General features: G+C 44.3%; 1 protein-coding gene and 1 long non-coding RNA gene across 9 annotated transcripts in view, besides 2 other annotated features; one reads left to right on the forward strand and one right to left on the reverse strand.

Annotated features, from left to right (window-relative positions):
* Positions 1-2,795: 2,795 nt before the first annotated feature.
* Positions 2,796-6,906, reverse strand: LOC105378773 (uncharacterized). The gene is made up of 4 exons (XR_947459.3): positions 6,843-6,906; positions 6,508-6,637; positions 5,861-5,957; positions 2,796-2,877 (listed from the first exon to the last, which is right to left on the reverse strand). It is a non-coding gene; the product is annotated as an uncharacterized LOC105378773 (long non-coding RNA).
* Positions 6,916-7,416: an enhancer, noted in NCBI's record as "H3K4me1 hESC enhancer chr1:64661738-64662238 (GRCh37/hg19 assembly coordinates)". NCBI's record gives its function as "activates a minimal SCP1, AML or CMV promoter by ChIP-STARR-seq in naive H9 embryonic stem cells {active_cell/tissue: H9 hESC(naive)}" and the evidence as "EXISTENCE:reporter gene assay evidence [ECO:0000049][PMID:30033119]".
* Positions 7,417-7,917: an enhancer, noted in NCBI's record as "H3K4me1 hESC enhancer chr1:64662239-64662739 (GRCh37/hg19 assembly coordinates)". NCBI's record gives its function as "activates a minimal SCP1, AML or CMV promoter by ChIP-STARR-seq in naive H9 embryonic stem cells {active_cell/tissue: H9 hESC(naive)}" and the evidence as "EXISTENCE:reporter gene assay evidence [ECO:0000049][PMID:30033119]".
* The window catches only part of UBE2U (ubiquitin conjugating enzyme E2 U), a 63,746-nt gene continuing 60,021 nt past the window's right edge, over positions 14,484-18,208 (forward strand). For 7 of the 8 annotated variants that reach the window (NR_158769.2, NR_158768.1, NM_001366232.2 and 4 more), the window contains exons 1-3: positions 14,484-14,977; positions 16,500-16,581; positions 17,625-17,717. Coding sequence is in view for 6 of the 8 variants with exons in the window: in NM_001366232.2 (NP_001353161.1) it covers positions 14,912-14,977; positions 16,500-16,581; positions 17,625-17,717 (241 nt within the window). In the remaining 2 variants the exon portion in view is untranslated. Of the gene's footprint in view, positions 14,978-15,401; positions 15,645-16,499; positions 16,582-17,624; positions 17,718-18,208 lie in introns of those variants that run through there. The other variant, XM_006710379.4, reaches the window with a different exon arrangement.

An 18,208-nucleotide genomic window follows, 5' to 3' on the forward strand; every position in this document is an offset into this window, starting at 1 on the left:
TGGCCAATGCATTTTTCTCCATAGAAATCGCTCCAGAGAACCAGAACAGTTCACCTTCTTGTGGAAAGGGCAACAGTGGACTTTTACAGTGTTGCCACAGGGCTATGTGCATAGCCTCACCATATGTCATGGTCTAGTTGCCACGGATTTAGCCACCTGACAATGTCAGAAGGGGTCTGCCTATTGCATTATATTACTGATATTAGGTTAACCTCTGATTCTCTTGCAGATTTAGAAGCGGTGATGCCCCTCTTGTGGCAACATTTGGCAGCATGTGGTTGGGCTGTCAATGAATCCAAGGTCCAAGGGCCTGGATTATCTGCCAGATTCTTGGGAGTTATCTGGTTGGGTAAGACAAAGGCCATCCCAGAGGCTATTATTGATAAGATTCAGGCATATCCCTGGCCCACCACGGTGAAGCAGCTGTAAACTTTTGTGGGACATTGTTATGGGATATTGTTGGACATCTGTGCCCCATTTAGCTTGGATGATAAAACGGTTGCATGGTTAATAAAAAAGGGACCTACTTGGGATTGGGATGATGCAGCTGAGACCACCTTCCTGGCAGCCAAATGGGCTATTCAGCAGGCACAAGCCCTACAGGTAGTTGACCAGGGGTGCCTGTTTGAGTTGGTATGCATGTGACCACAGATGGCTTCAGCTGGGGCCTGTGGCAGCACGTGGAGTGCTTGAGAACGCCAGTAGGCTTTTAGTCCTAACTATGGAAGGGAGTTGAGCTCTGGTATTCCTTGATAAAGAAACAGCTAGCAGCTGTGTATGCCGCCTTTCAGGCTTGTGAGAGTGTGACAGGATGGGCTGCAGTCATCATGCAGATGACTTACCTAATAGCAGGATGGGTACATTCATGGGTAATGACCTCCTGGACTGGGATGGCTCAGACATCCACTTTGCCAAAGTGGGGTGCCTACTTGGAGCAGTGGAGAACGCTGAGTACAAGTCCCTTAGCAGCAGAGTTGCAAGAGGTCTTAAAACCTGAACCTGTAGTCCTAATGTAAGATAAGGCCATGGGGCCTGAGGTGCCCCTAAACCCTGAGCTTTCACTGTTTAAGGGTGTCCCCCTATTCCCGATGGGACATGGTACACAGATGGGTCTAGCCGAGGTGCTACTGCTGCCTGGACTTCTGTTGCAGTCCAACCTAGTACTGACACCGTATGGTTTGAAACCAGGTATGGACAAAGTAGCCAATGGGCTGAACTTAGAGTAGTATGGATGGTGATCACCAAGGAGGTGACACCTATAGTTATCTGTATCGGTAGCTGGGCAGTCTATCAAGGCTTAACCTTATGGTTAACTACCTGGAAAATACAAAAGGGGTTAGTCAGCCACTGACCCATTTGGGGCCAAGTCATGTGGCAAGACCTTTGGGAAATGGGTCATCAGAAAGAGGTAACTCTTTATCATGTCTCAGGCCATATGCCTTTCACTACCCCCGGCAATGATGAGGCAGATACCTTGGTTAAGATCCGATGGTTAGTCAGCACCAACATGAGATGTGGCCTTGTGGCTACACTGGAAACTGGGACAAGCCGGGGGGTGAACTGATGCAACGGGTCAATAAGCATTGGGGTCTATTCCTGCCCAAGCAAGGCATTTGAGAGGCTTGTCAGAAATGCCTGGCATATGCTCAGGCACACCCTAAATGGAGGCAGGGGCCCAATATTACACAACAAACGACAATAGGGTGAGTGCCCTTAACCAAGTGGCAAGTAGATTACATTAGGCTGCTGCTGAAGTTGCAAGGGTATATGCATGTGTTAACAGCTGTGGACACAGTCATGAGCCTGTTGTTCACCTATGCTTGCAGAGTGGCCAACCAACAGAACACCATCCAGGCCCTGCAACACTTATATGCCCTGTATGATCACCCTCTGGCTGTCGAGAGTGATAAGAGAACACATATCACTGGATAACAGGCACAAAAATGGGCATAACAAGTGGACATAAAGTGGGGATTCCATGTACTATATAACCCGCAAGCTGCACATATAATTGAGTGGTATAAGAGGCTCTTAAAGAATGGGTTATGCTTGCATGTCACACCCCTGTCTTTGTGGGGCTGGAGTTCCAGGCTGGACCTGGTACTTCAATCCTTGAATTAACAGCCACAGAAAGTTGGCCCAGTTCTGATGGTGGCTTTGTTACACTGGGCCACCATCCCCATCCGGTTGCAGATACATACCAAGGGTGACCTCCTCCAACCAGGTATGGGGATGAACAGTAACCTGTTGTTACTAGCCCCAACACCCTTGAAGGCAGGGGAACAGAAAACCTGGCTGTGGCCATGGACCCTCCAAGCCCCCCACTGCCAGTGGTTGGCCATCGTAGCTCCCTGGGGGTAGGGCATACACTATGACTTGCATGTCACTCCTTGGGTATTCAATACATGGCCCCTGCAGTTGACTGTTTGTAGGGGAATGGCCAGGGAAGGCACCCTCCTCCAGGGAATATATGTATTGCTTGTGTGACCTATTATGAGTTCCCCTGTGACTTTGGCACAGATACAGGACTCAAAAGAACCATGGGGAGCTGAGAAGGTGTGGTACCATCATCCAGGGCAAAATCCCTTGTTGGCTGCATTGTTATCCAGGGATGAAAGGTTAGCCTGTATTTTGCTTGAGAGACGTGATTTACCTCTGTTAGTACCTATGCCTGCTCTGTCATTTCAACCACAGGTTAACATGCTCCAACTGCATCATGAACTGGGCCCACACGTAGGCTGAGGTGACCAATATTTCCAACTGTTGGCTCTGCACCACTCTTCCAGCAGCAGTTGTGGACAGCTTGCCTTGGCACATGCATTCAGTGTCTGCAGAGAACTGGACATGGCTGGAGACTTGGGGTCCCATGGCTGACACCTGGAACGCAATGCAGCAAGCTTTGGACAAAAGACACTGCAAGACCCATGGCACACACACCCCTGGCTGGCCTGTAGTGTTTATGATGGGTGGGGCTGGCTAGTGGGGGAACATGTAGTACCCCTAGCCCAGGCACCGCGGTGCATACAGCAACACTGGGGTAACACCACTGCGGGATGGGTACCTGTCATGGCCTGTGTAAACATAATACATGTCACTCCACTGAAGTTATGGTGGGTATTCCTGGGCTCTGGCCTATGCTGGGCCCTAACAGTCATAAGTAGCATAACTGGGATCCTAGTAGTGAGCTATTGCTCTCTGTATTGTTGTTTGAGCTATGGATTCAGGGCTCCGCCCTATGGGCATGTGTCCCTGCCCAGAGGATGCCCTGAGCCTAGCTGGTGGAGTGTAAGGGAAGTGGCTGTGCTTTACTCAGAAGTAGGCCAAGGCGGCCTTCTAGCGCAGCATGACTCAGTGGGTTTGGAGCGCAGGCGTACAACCCTGCACATTATGTAACCACACCGCATGAGGCATATTAGGTGATCACCCATGTGAGCTTGTGCTTGGCTTGGAGGGACTATTGTCTGTAAAACATACAATTACCCTGCTAACGCTGTATATATGGCTCGCTTGTGCCCAGAGAGAGAGTAAAGCCATGTCAAAACTGTCTACAATTCCTCTAGTGTTTTTCCAGCTACCTACCACTCACCCACTGACTCCCCTCAGACCTCAGTTAGAACCTGACACCAGGGCACCCATGTCCTTCTCTTTCCTCAAATTCATGGCAGACATCACTAATTGGTGCTCTTCCCAACTGAACTCAGACTTAGCCTTAAAATTTTCAACATAGTTGCCTGAACAACCTACCACTCAGAAATGGCACTAGAAATAAAACTTATTAGCCATCCCTGTGCTGGGGCAATAGTTGTCAAACCAGGTTATTATCACAATTGTCTGGGGGAGAACCTAAAAATTATAACTTCTCAGGACCATTCCAGAATGTACCAGAAAAGCTACCTTGAAAATCTCCTATAAATCCCTGACACGTAGCGTACAGCACTGTAATCTGTAGTTCCTCCTCCTTCCTGGGACTTGGACAAAGAGAATGCAAGCATACAGCATGTATTTTTCAGCTGCACTGGAAGGTGAGCTAGCTGATTGAGCAAGTAAGGCAATCTCTATTTTCTTATGCATCAAATGGTGTAAATATAGCATTTACACCATTCTGAACACCAAGAGTTCTGATGTCAGATTGTCTGGCTTAAATATCCCCTTCGTACCTTGGTAACCATGTGAACTCAGACAAGTTACTGAACTGCTGTTTCTTCACCTGAAAAAGTATCTGTTTTACAGAATTGTTATGAGATTTAGACAAGATAATTCATGTAATCTGAATAGAAGAGCACCTGACATAAAGTCCTCTAAAAACACAATATCTATCTAATTTTATCATTTTTGTCTATAATATTTATCTCTCCGAATTTGTATGAGCATTTAATGAGAATATATGTGAGTATATGAGAGGTATCTGGGCACATAGTAGGTGCTCAAAGAGTGGTAAGATTGTTATTATTCAATGTGTTTTAAACAACTTTTACTAAGGGATACATATTTTCTAGTATGGTAGACAGAGAACAAAATATTCCATTTAATTATTAATGTATATGCCATCACATAGAACACCCAGAAGATTGGTGCTAAGGAGGTGGGGGTGGGGTTAGCCAGCTCCTCATTCAGTTCTATCGTCTCCCTTCAGACCACCCCTAATAAACATAAACTAAGTAAAACAGCTTCAAGACACATCCCTAAGCCATCCCTAAACCATATGTCATCCCTTAAACCCCCTCTTCCAAGATGATTGCCATCTCAAAGTCTCTCCATCGTCCAATTCCATGTTTACCCTTGGGGGCAACTGAGAGCACTGTAAAAAGGTATATTAAACTGATATATATGAAAGGAGCCTAGAATAATTACATCTTTTAAACACCTGTATACACACACTGAATAGTCACAAATAGATGTTATTGAATGCAGCATCGCTCAACAATTGAGATTCTCATGTGGGGAAATGAATGGAGAGCTGATTTTTCTAAAACACTTCAGTGCATGTAAAGCACACAAGCAGGCACTGCTTTCCTTCTAGACACCTCTAGACACCTTCTAGACACCTCTAGAATCATCTCCTAACACAATTCTGAGCAAGATTTTTTATAACATTGATCACGGGCTTTGGGCACCAGCCTGCCACGGAAACCAAATTGGGTGCCTTTAAATACCAAGCTCCCAAAACAAGTTAACAGCTCTTGCCGAGTTGTTTACACAATTCCCACTCTGAAAAGGTCCTTGATGCCCAAGTTAGTCCCTGCTGGTTTGCCAGGGACTGTCCCAGTTTTAGCACTGAAAAGTTCTTTGTCTCAGGCAAACCAAGAGTGTTGGTCACCCTAGCTAAAGCAGAGACAGCAAACTAAAAACCAGTAAGTATTGATTCTGAATTCCTCCCCGTAAACACAAATACAGATACAAATAATGATTAAGTGGCCCCTGCATGTCAGGTGCCTTACAGAGAGAGGCCTAATTATTTTGTAATTAACACACTTCTGAAAATGTGGGGGAGTGCACAACTCCAACTTTAAAAAGAGGAACCAAGCATTTCTTGAGCCAAGGCTTTTATAAGCTAAAATAAAATGTTTAAATGAGAAATTTCAGGAATTCAAGTCAGTGAACTATGCTGCCCACCTCCTTCTTCCTGTTTGATCTTTGAAGATTAGCATTCAGTATTTTTCATGACATTTATATTGAGGAAGGAATATAAGATTATTAAAAGCAGAGAAACTCAATATTGGGAACTCACATCAAAAGGTCTTCAAGACAAAGAAGAGATCATAGGATTTGAAACTAGAGTTACTAGAAGCATGTGTGCTGCACTTCATTTTCTAGTTAACAGCATAACCTACGTCAAAATATGATTTAAAACACTTCTCACAGCTCAGTTGACATTTGGCAATCCCCAGCCTTCTTTTGCTCTCGAGGATGGGGGTTCAAATCCACACGACGTTAGCACTTTGTACTGCTACATATTCCTGGTGGAGGAGGAAAACAGTCTTTCGGTTTAAGTAAAATGAAAACATCTGTTTGAGTCCTGAGGGAAAGAATTATTTTTACATAGAGGGGAGAGGATGCCTGGTTGTTAAAGCTGGAGTCAGCCTCAGTAACATTACAAAAGGGAAATAGTTACACTGTCAGTTGCCTTGCCTTGCTCACTTGCCTGGCTCACTCTGTCAGTCTGATCTGGGCATGGCTTGACTAGATTCTCTGTGCAGGGTCTTACAAGGTATTGGCTGGGTTCTGCTGTGATCTGGAATTCAGGTCCTTTTCCTAGCTCATGTGGTTGTGGCAAAATTCAGTTCCTTGGAACTCTAGGACTAAGGCCCCAATTCTCTTGCTGGCTGTCAGCCAGTGGTCACTCTCAGCGCTTGCAGGCTACCGACATTCCTTGCCATGTGGCCCCTTCCATTTCCAAGCTAGAAACAGACAGTCTCCCTTACACGGAATCCCTCTCATGCTTTGAGTCACTGACTTCAGGAAGGGCCTAGTCCCATTTAAGGGCTCACCTGATTAGGTCAGGCTTACCCAGAATAATCTCCCTTTCTTCAAGTCGAATGCGCCATATAACTTAATCACAGCAGTAAAATCCATCATCTTCACAGTCCTGAGGATTGTACAGCAAGTAGGGATCCTGGAGGTCATCTTAGAATCCTGCCTACCATAAAAATACAATGCAAGATTTTTCTTTTCAAACTTGTAGTTCTATTTTTAGGTGGAAGGACTGGGAGAGAAAGTCCAAGAAAACATATAGTAGGACTTAATTAAATCTACTTTCCCTTAAAGGTACAAATTTACTAAAAGTTAACATCTTAAAATTATTTTTATAAATAATAATAGTTGGTATTTTCTGAGCTACATACAGCGTATGATAAGTGTATTCATAAGTTGCAGAGGTCAAACTCAGTTCTCAAGGGATTTACAATCTAAAAGAGAAGATAGGATACACATTTAGTTAACAGATATGTATTTGGGCACTGTTTTAATTTTTTTAAGTTTTCAGACTTTGTTTCACAGGGATCAACATGGAAATGTACTGGAGTTAGTAATGCGGTGCCCAGCCTCCCCACAGCCTTCTTTATCTGATCCTGCTCCTAAGGGGACTGGGCTGGGGCTGGAGAGGGGATGGGGCTTTGCAGTTTAAGGCATTTCTGGCTTCAGAGCCATCCCTGCCGCCCCTCCACTTGCCCCTTGACCTTGGTCAGACACTGGCTGGCCCCTGGTTATTCTGAGACAAGGACAACCATCACTGACACTGAAGGGAGGGTTTGCAGTGAGGCAGCCCTCTGCCGCTCTCTGCCAAGATGAGAAGGATGAGACCCACCACTCCAGGGGTCAAATAAAATCAACACATGAAGAACACGGCTGGTGGCCAGGCCCAGATACCCAGGCAGGCAGCAGAGGTTATTAACCCCACGGTACAGTGGGCTCCTCTTGGGGACTCCTCACAGGGCCTGGGGTGTGGCAGAGGGACAGAGCCATATCCAGGGTGGCTGGGTGGCTGGGCAGGGCCAGCTGAGGGGCAGGGTACCCAGACTGGCCCTGGTCTGGCCTCTGCTTGCCAGCAGCCTGGGGCTGGCACAGGCAGCACGGGGAGGGACGTAGAGCTGCCCAGCACTAACATTGTTTCTAAGTCACAGTATTGGCACAGGAGGCTCAGGCAGGGCCAGGCCCTGGGGTCCAGCCAGCCTGGGAGAAGGCCAGCCACGGATGGGCACTATTTTATACAGCAGTGGTCTGGCTTTCTTGGGTTTACGTTTTAACAGCAGGTAGAAATGCAGCCACAATAGTTAACAAAAACAAAAATAACAGCCGGACAAAAATATTCTCACAACTATTGAGAGTAGCAATAATTTACTGAAGGCCGGAGAGCTCACTTAGTAGAACATGAGATACTTGTGAGGCAGAGTAGCTTAGTGGCTAAAAGTATGGACTCAGGTTTGCATCCTGGCTCTGTTGCATTCCAGCTGTGCAACCTTGGGCAAATCATCCAGTGTCTCTGTGCCTTGGTTTTCCTCATCTGTAAATTAGAATCTTAAGAGTACCTACTGTACAGAGTTATTAGTGAGGATGAAATTAATTCCCATAGAGCACTTAGAACAGCATGCTCAGCACACGGAAAGTGCAGGTGTTGGCTATTACTTACTCTATGCCAGGTGTGACTGAGTCATTGGCAGGGATTATATCTTTTAATCCTCATAATGATCCTGCAAAGTAAGTATTACTATTGGCCGCAAATTACAGGTGAGAACATTGTAGGCACAGGGAAGCTAAGTAACTTCTTCAAGACTATCTTTACGGGTTAATAAGACACAGAACAGAACCCAGGTCTGCCTTGAAGGCACATTCTATTTATCAACAGACTTACTAATAAATTAACGCAGTGGAAGAACTGAAGATGGGGATTTATTTTCCCAGTTGAGTTGGTTTGTCTAACTCACAACCAAACACAACAAAGCTGATGAACAAGGCAGAGAAAGACAACGCTCAGGAGTGAGAAGTGACAAGAAGATTATGACAGCAATAATATCATGTATGTGAAAAGTTTACTAAAACTGACATTTGTTGTAATAAATGGAAGGTGATCCCATGCAGAGAAAATATTTTCAGATGGGCCTCTCCTTATAAATTTCCAATTTTGAGTGACTCAGATGGCTGAACAGCTGATGCTATTAGTTTTCAGCTCCTGCTGCTATAATATTAATTGTAGGAGGCAAACCTATCCAGTTGCTACACAGATGCTAGATGCTAGGTACACACACACACACACACACACACACACACACGCACACATGCACACACGCACACATGCATGCACAGGATAAGATATGCTATGACTGCGCCAAGGCACTCCAGCCTAAGCAACAGAGGAAAACTCTCTAAAAAACAAAAAGATAGAAAAAATACAAGATGCTGGCCAGCCAGTGAGTATATCTGTGATCTTGTTTAGTTAGCATCTCCAAACACAACAGTACCAAACCCTCACATTGGCAGGAAGCTTTTTATTTCTCAAAAAATTCATTCCCAAAATATTTCTGGAAACCTTAACCTGTTTGTCTCCTCAGCCCCTCCGGGTGTGGGACCTTTATAAGTGTCTTTCCCTTCCTTTTTGGCGTCCTGGGGATTTTGCTTATAAAAGGTGCCTTGGCTGAAGCTCTGCAGCCCCTTCTGCTCTGGTGGCTCTTGCTCTCAGGGGTGCTTCTGATTCATTGTCTACTCTGTCACTGTCCTTCAGACTTTAGCCTCCTATGTGTCATGGAGCTGGCTGAGCTTCTCTACATCACCCAGCTTTTCACATCTCTGCAACCCTCTTCCTTTGCTTATGCCTAGTTCTTTCATGGAAGGTCACTCTCCTGGCCCCAAAACTTTCTATTCTGCTAAGTTCAATTCAATCAGAATATACTGATACCACCTCTGAGCCAGGTGCTTGGTGCTGGGAATGCAGCGATGAATAAACAGGTCTCCATGGCCTTAAGAAATTATATTCTAGTGAGTGAGAAAACCCCATAAACAAATAGTTTCAAAATAATGTGGTGATAATATACAAAGGTGAACCCAGGTCAAATGAGAACACAACCCATTCTGGCAGTTCAGGATGGCTCCAAGGAGGCATTTATCTCTTTCAGGATGTGCTAACAGTTTTTAATTAGATTTAAAAAGAGGAAGAAAGGTCAGGGAGAAAAGATGATGAGCCTAGGCAAGATGGGTACATACAGGAAAAAGATAATGCAGTTTAATGGAGCGGGTACCTCAAGTATGAAGCAGAGTGAGTGTCAATAAAAGTAGGCATAAATAGGAAAATATTATGGAATGCTCTGCTTTCCATGTTAAGAAACTTAGATTTAATTCTGTAGTGTGTGGTTTATCAAGTAAAAAAAAAAAGTTCATTTGCATACACATACAAATGTAGAGACGGACACATATAAAGTTGCCTGTGATTTCAGCCATCCCACCTACATCCCTGGAAGTAAATCCACATGTTGAAGATGGGATACGTTGGGATGAAGGGGAATCCCTCAAAGTATTTTAAGTAGAGAATTTCATGATCACATGTTAGTTTAAATACATTACTATCACGTTTCATGACAAGCAAGTCTGGAGTCAGGGAGTACAATACAAAGATGTTCTGTATCTAGGCAAGAGATGACAAGGTTATGAAATTGAGCATTATTGGTAAGGCTTGAGAAGAAGCTAAGACAACAGCATGTCTTGTGAGTCATGAGGAAGAGGAGGAGTCATGAGGACGAGGAGGAGTCAGAGATGACTTCAAATTTCCAACTGGGACAGAAGCTTGGTTGAGAGAAACAGTAATGAGTTGATTTTTGGACATTTGAGTTTGAAATGTGTTTGGGACAAGACAGCTGGGTGACAACCAGGCATTTGGATATAAATTAGTAGGTATACTAGTCAGAAGTCCCAAGAAGAGGTCAAAGCTAGTAATATAGGTTTGTTGTGGGGGGAGTCATATGAATATCTTCCAACTTGATTTTCATTGTGCTAAAGTATCATATAAATGCCATCTTCTAAAAATTCACAACAAAAAATGTTTTTCTTTACCTTAATTTTCTTTTACCTTACTTACTTTTATCTTTCTTTTACTTTAACAAAATTTTCCCTAGAATGAAATTCTAAACAAAAGATGGAGGATTCTTATTGTATGACATGATGACTACAGTTAATAAAAATATGTTGTATCTTTGAAAATAGATAAGAATAGATTTTAGGTTTCCTCAACATATGAGGTAATGCTTATGTTAATTAGCTCAATTTAGCCGTTCCATAACATATACATATTTCAAAATATCATGTTTTCCATGATAAATAAATAAATATATTTTTTAAATACAAAAGATTCTGAATTCATTATCACAATAATCCATTAGGGTGGGAGAAAGGATTGTGGGACCACAGTGATATGGACAAACCTAGTTACGATCTCCAAATTGGGCCTATTCCCTTCTCACTGAAGTAGCCCTTTACTCACTTTCACCTGATATTTCCAATCCTATGCAAGCCCATGTTGAAATCTGATGGGCTGGAAAGAAGGGCCAAAATATTCAATCCCAGATCCTGTTGATGTTTTCACAGGAAAAAAATCCTTTCTATTTAGTTTTAGGAAACATAGAATAATAGCATTTTATTGTGTCAGCATTTTAGTACAGTGAATATGTTGTTGGTGATTTCTAAGCTACCATACCTGGAGGTGAAATTTACTGTGGGATCCTTCCAAGTGGTCCCCCCCAACAATTCATTCTTCGTAGAGCAGCCAGAGTAATCAAGTAAATATAAATCAGAGCATGCTCTCCCTCTCCCTCTCCCTCTCCCTCTCCCTCTCCCTCTCCCTCTCCCTCTCCCTCTCTCCACGGTCTCCTTCCACGGTCTCCCTCTGATGCCAAGCCAAAGCTGGACTGTACTGCTGCCATCTCGGCTCACTGCAACCTCCCTGCCTGATTCTCCTGCCTCAGCCTGCCGAGTGCCTGCGATTGCAGGCGCGCGCCGCCACGCCTGACTGGTTTTCGTATTTTTTTGGTGGAGACGGGGTTTCGCTGTGTTGGCCGGGCTGGTCTCCAGCTCCTAACCGCGAGTGATCCGCCAGCCTCGGCCTCCCGAGGTGCCGGGATTGCAGACGGAGTCTCGTTCACTCAGTGCTCAATGGTGCCCAGGCTGGAGTGCAGTGGCGTGATCTCGGCTCGCTACAACCACCTCCCAGCCGCCTGCCTTGGCCTCCCAAAGAGCCGAGATTGCAGCCTCTGCCCGGCCGCCACCCCGTCTGGGAAGTGAGGAGCGTCTCTGCTTGGCCGCCCATCGTCTGGGATGTGAGGAGCCCCTCTGCCTGGCTGCCCAGTCTGGAAAGTGAGGAGCGTCTCTGCCCGGCCGCCATCCCATCTAGGAAGCGAGGAGCGCCTTTTCCCCGCCGCCATCCCATCTAGGAAGTGAGGAGCGCCTCTTCCCGGCCGCCATCCCATCTAGGAAGTGAGGAGCGTCTCTGCCCGGCCGCCCATCATCTGAGATGTGGGGAGCACCTCTGCCCCGCCGCCCTGTCTGGGAGGTGAGGAGCGTCTCTGCCCGGCCGCCCCGTCTGAGAAGTGAGGAAACCCTCTGCCTGGCAACCGCCCCGTCTGAGAAGTGAGGAGCCCCTCCGTCCGGCAGCCACCCCGTCTGGGAAGTGAGGAGCGTCTCCGCCCGGCAGCCACCCCGTCCGGGAGGGAGGTGGGGGGGGTCAGCCCCCCGCCCGGCCAGCCGCCCCCTCTGGGAAGTGAGGAGCCCCTCTGCCCGGCCAGTCGCCCCGTCCAGGAGGGAGGTGGGGGGGTCAGCCCCCCGCCCAGACAGCCGCCCCGTCCGGGAGGGAGGTGGGGGGGTCAGCCCCCCGCCTGGCCAGCTGCCCCGTCCGGGAGGTGAGGGGCGCCTCTGCCCGGCCGCCCCTACTGGGAAGTGAGGAGCCCCTCTGCCCGGCCAGCCGCCCCGTCCGGGAGGGAGGTGGGGGGGTCAGCCCCCCGCCCGGCCAGCCGCCCCGTCCGGGAGGGGGGAGAGGGGGTCAGCCCCCTGCCCGGCCAGCCGCCCCGTCCGGGAGGTGAGGGGCGCTTCTGCCCGGCCGCCCCTACTGGGAAGTGAGGAGCCCCTCTGCCCGGCCACGACCCCGTCTGGGAGGTGTGCCCAGCGGCTCATTGAGAACGGGCCATGATGACAATGGCGGTTTTGTGGAATAGAAAGGCGGGAAGGGTGGGGAAAAAATTGAGAAATCGGATGGTTGCCGGGTCTGTGTGGATAGAAGTAGACATGGGAGACTTTTCATTTTGTTCTGTACTAAGAAAAATTCTTTTGCCTTGGGATCCTGTTGATCTGTGACCTTACCCCCAACCCTGTGCTCTCTGAAACATGTGCTGTGTCCACTCAGGGTTAAATGGATTAAGGGCGGTGCAAGATGTGCTTTGTTAAACAGATGCTTGAAGGCAGCATGCTCGTTAAGAGTCATCACCACTCCCTAATCTTAAGTACCCAGGGACACAAACACTGCGGAAGGCCACAGGGTCCTCTGCCTAGGAAAACCAGAGACCTTTGTTCACTTGTTTATCTGCTGACCTTCCCTCCACTATTGTCCTATGACCCTGCCAAATCCCCCTCTGCGAGAAACACCCAAGAATGATCAATAAAATAAATAAATAAATAAATAAATAAATAAATAAATCAGAGCATGACACTCTCCTGTTTAAACCCATTAAATGGATTCCCATAGCTATTCAAATAAAGCCCAAACTTCCTACTGTATAGTGCCCATCTTTATCACACCCCTCCCAGGCTCCTCCACAACCTCCCTGACCTTCCCTTGTTCCCTTTTCAAGACAAGCTCTTTCCTGACTCAAAAATATCTTGTTTTCCTCTTCCTAGAACTCTCTGCCCTCAATATTTCATGTAGCAGGCTCCTTCTCATCTTTCATGTATGAGTTCAAAACCCCATTCCTTACAGAGGCATTTCCTGACTACCATTTCTAATCCTTAATGACCTACCCCAATCTCTATCATGGTACTGTTTTATTATTGTCCACATAACGTTTATCACCATCTGAAATCATGATTTTTGTTTTGCATACTTGTTTATTGTATATTGGAGCCATAAAGACATTTACTTCATTTGAATCTTTCAAGTAAAAAAAAAGTATTTAATAAATATTTGTAAAATGAATGGACTAAATGAACATCCGGATTCTATAAAATTAGTAAGTAAAAAGTAAAAAAAGAAAGTATTCTGAACAAAGATGCCAGGCTTTGTAGTTGGCGCTGGCAATGGAACCGTGTCTTTCAGTAGTTCCCACTCTGGTGAAGACAATAGACAATTGTGATGCCGTATGGCAAATGTTAACTAGGAGGCAAATAGAAGGTCCTGTGGGATCACAAAAGAAAGGATCCCTTAAAGAGTCGTTAAAATCTGAAGGATGAGTGAGTGAAGGGGAAATGAGGGCTGAAGGGGTGGAAGGAATGTGGTAAACTCCTAGGTAGAAGGAACAGCAGGTGCGAAACTGTGCGGGAAGAGATGGGAATCAGAGAAATTTTAAGCAGTTCCCTGTTCCTGGAGCACTTTCCCAGGGTGATTGTAGGGTTTGATGACATAATAGCATGCACACTACTGTGAATGGTAACTCGCCATGTAAGTTAAGATATTGTTATGCAGACCTGTACCTACCAGTCACTTACTATATCTTTTGATAGTCAAAGAAAAAGGAAGGATAATTTCGAAGAAAGACTTCGTGGGACGGCTTCTGTGACTTACATGCTGGGTCCTGGGACCTCACCCCATCCTCTACACTAGTTTTGTACAGTCCATGTTCGTGGCCTGAGAAGGCGTGGTGTTGCCTTGACCACGAATCTCATTGGCCTTTCAAAGGGGAAACTGTTGTAGGATTGGCTGTGGAGATAGCAAGAGGCCTGCCCCCTGTCGCTGATTGGGTGAGAGCGGCCAACCCCCTGCCTCCGTCTCTCGGCGGCCCCACGGGGGCCTGTTGGTTGGCAACCGATTTGCTTCCTCCGGTGCGTGGCTGCGGGGTTGCACCTGTGAAGCGAAGACAACCTGCTAGGACCCTGATAGGCGTACACCTCTCACTCCCACTCACGCGCCGACGACATGGGCTTGTCTCCGTTACTCATCCAAGTTTGTCTTGAGACTGGGCTGTGAGCCGGCACTGCAGTGAAACGCCGCAGATGAGGAAGTGCCCAAGTCTTCCTTCGGGAAGTTCTCGTTTAGAGGAGTCAGGAGAAAAAGTCATTGTTATATCCCAACTTTAGAAGCCGCTTATCTTGGTACCGTTCTGAGGTTCTAGAAAGCAAGTAACTTATATCAGTTTACTAAGTGTGGGAAAGTGACCCATAACTTCAAACATCTGCCTCAGAGTAAACCTGAGGCATTTGGGGACAAGTGTCAGACCCTCCGCTGCCTATCATGCACGGCAGAGCTTACCTCTTGCTGCACAGAGACTTCTGTGATCTCAAGGAGAACAATTATAAGGTAAGTACTGGGCACGTGGAGAGATGTGTTTCATTGTGCAATAATTTTTAAGAGGCAGTTTAACCCATTTTATTCTATAAGTAGTAATTTAGTTAAACCTGATTTGCCACTACAGTATTGTTATTTAATAAATCCATTTCACTGAAGTAATGTGTTTCATATTAATAACAATTATTATTACTTCAAAATAATAATGCTTAACAATATTGAACATATTATGCAGAGTAATTTATGTGGATCTAGGCACTGAATATCAGGGTCTGTCATGTAGTTAGTGACTAGTAGGTGCAGGCTTATGCTCATTAATTATAATACTATACAATAAGTAGTATTTCATTTTACTTACCAAAAACCTAAGCCTCAGAAATATTCTGTAAAGATTTTGCCCCATGATTCCATTACAGGGTTTTTGGACTTCAAAGCCCTAGTTCTTAATTCCTGTGTTCCACTGCTTACTGTCTAGTGTACTTTTACCAGCATGACACATAAATGCCTTCCCTTTATAGTTTTAACACAAAAGAAGCAATGTCCTTGGGCTTAAACGCCACCAATGAGGTTATCAATGTCCATGGCTGCCACAGGCTGATTTACGGAAAATGAAAAATGGAAGAGGGGGCGAAGAGGGAGTGCTTAAGAGAAAGAACAGAAAGAAAGCTGTCCATGAAAGGTATAGAGTGCTTCCCACAGTTGCTTCAGGTGTAGTTCAGTGGCATTGTTCATTTTTTACCTCTGCTATAAAAGTACTGCATTCACTGGAGATGTTAGGAACAATTATGGAGTCCAACAGCGAACATTCCTGGGGCATGGACCTAACATTTGATATTGTTTCTGCTCATCCTGAGCTCTGTAGTTCTCTGTTGAAAGAGAATCCAATGAAGGAATATGTAAATATAGATAATAGAGAGACAGGGCTCACCCAGACAAGCACTAACATACTTAATAACTATGTGGATGCTCAGAAGTGTTTTTATGTGTTTGTAAGTGTGTTACTTAACGTAATTCATAAGGTTTTCTATGAAATACATTCTTGTCCCTCCATTGGAACAACTCCTCAAGTATAGGAAAACTTTGCTTTTATATACAAGTGTAATTTTGGATTTTTTCTTAATGAAAATGTTCCCACTTCATGCCTTTCATATAGCATTCATATAGCTCTAAAATGTTTTGAAGAAACATGCACTTTCCAACTATTTCTTTCTTTTAAAATTTGAATATTAAATTGGTTATTGATTTACACAAACAGTATATAAGCCACACATTCTAATCTTGACTCTCTAGTCCCACTTGTGATTTCCACACTTATGATTTATTTTTAATTACTATTGCATATGTTTTCTGGGATCTATATTAACTTCCGTGAAATAAGACATGTAACACTTCCCCAGAGCAGCAAATAAATAAACTTATCAAGGAAAGAAAATTTAGAGTTTTTAGAATTCAGTGTGACCTGGTATATGATTTTCAAAACTTCAATAAATACTTAATAAGTTTTTTCTGATTTAATTTTGTTTTTAACTTCAAGGGTATCACTGCTAAGCCTGTAAGTGAAGATATGATGGAATGGGAAGTTGAAATTGAAGGTCTACAGAATTCAGTTTGGCAGGGTTTGTATTTTCAAAACCAATCTATTTTTTAAAAAAGTCTTTATACCATTATTAGCCCATCCTCTTTTTATGTAGGATAAGGTCGCATTATATAAATTTCCTGAAATTCTTCTTCATATGCATAAGTTTGCATTATACCAGTTGTCTAAAATTCTAAAAATATTCCCATTTTTTTTATTTATGACTTTTTTGCCATGTGTCAACATAGATGGAAATTTGGGGTATTTTTCTTTATGCCAAATCTTAATTTTATTACATTTTTAAGAAGCAGACACAATAGAGCATATCAATTGAGAGAATATCGTCTGCCTTCCGTGAGATCAGGGAATAACTATCAAAATTCCTATTGGCTTCAAAACCCCACAGTTACTTCTCATTTTTTCCTTTATGATTTTCCCCCAAATTTTCATAAATCAAAAAATCTCAAGAACACTAAGCCACTATAAACTTTAATGCTCATGTTTTCTTTCAATTATGGATTAATAAGATAGATTCCTTGAGTGAGGTAGGGGAGACAAACACATCAGCTGATAATTACAATAAAATATACATTATTATGGATTTTGAACAGAATGCTAAAGAGGAAGAGGATTAGTTAATTATGCCTGAGGGAGTCAGGAATGTCTTCCCAAGGAGATCACATTTGAGTTGAGTCCTGAAGAATCTGCCAGGTTCAGAAGAAGGATAAGGAAATTCGGGCAGAGTAAACAGCACAGCAAAGACTTGTAGACAAGAAAGGGTGTAGCAGATTTTGGGAACATGAGTTCAGTCAATACGAGATACAACAGAGGGGGTGGATGTTAGGGCGACAAAGGTAGTAGATGGAAAGGACTAGTGGGAAAGAGACTGAAAACGTATGATTATAATAGATTGTGAAGTGTCTGTTATACTATCCAGAGGAGTCGGTGCACTCTATGAATCAATTTACTTAAAAATAAAACTGTGGAAAGACTAAACCATAGGGAGAAACTCCAGTGTTAATCAGGTTACAGTTAATCAATAAACATGACACTTTAGTAAAAATGTTTATTTCTATATTATAGGTTTAGTCTTCCAACTGACAATACATTTTACATCGGAGTACAACTATGCTCCTCCAGTTGTGAAATTTATAACAATTCCGTTTCATCCAAATGGTAAGAACTAAATGACATTTTTATCATTAGAGGCTTTGTCCCTATTATCCTTGTTTCTTATAATAATCATGTTTCTTTTTAAGAACTTTATTATGATTCTAAAAGTAAGAACTCTCATTGGGGAAAATATGAAAAGGCTGGAAAAAATTAGCAATCACCTTAAATCCTAATGCAAAGAGAAAATACTGTCAACATTTTGCCAAATTTATTTTCCTTTTTTCTAAGTATGAATTTTTTCTATACAGTTGAGGTATTATGCATGAAGTTTTGCCTCTAGGTTTTTGATTTTATTTATTTTATGGTGTTTTTTTTGAGACAGAGTCTCTCTCTGTCGCCCAGGCTGGAATGCAGTGGTGTGATCTCGGCTCACTGCAACCTTCACCTCCCAGGTTCAATCGATTCTCCTGCCTCAGCCTCCCCAGTAGCTGGGACTACAGGCATGCGCCACCACACCTGGCTAGTTTTTGTATTTTTAGCAGAGATGGGGTTTC

Source organism: Homo sapiens, chromosome 1, assembly GCF_000001405.40.
Source record: "Homo sapiens chromosome 1, GRCh38.p14 Primary Assembly".
Lineage (NCBI taxonomy): Eukaryota > Metazoa > Chordata > Mammalia > Primates > Hominidae > Homo > Homo sapiens.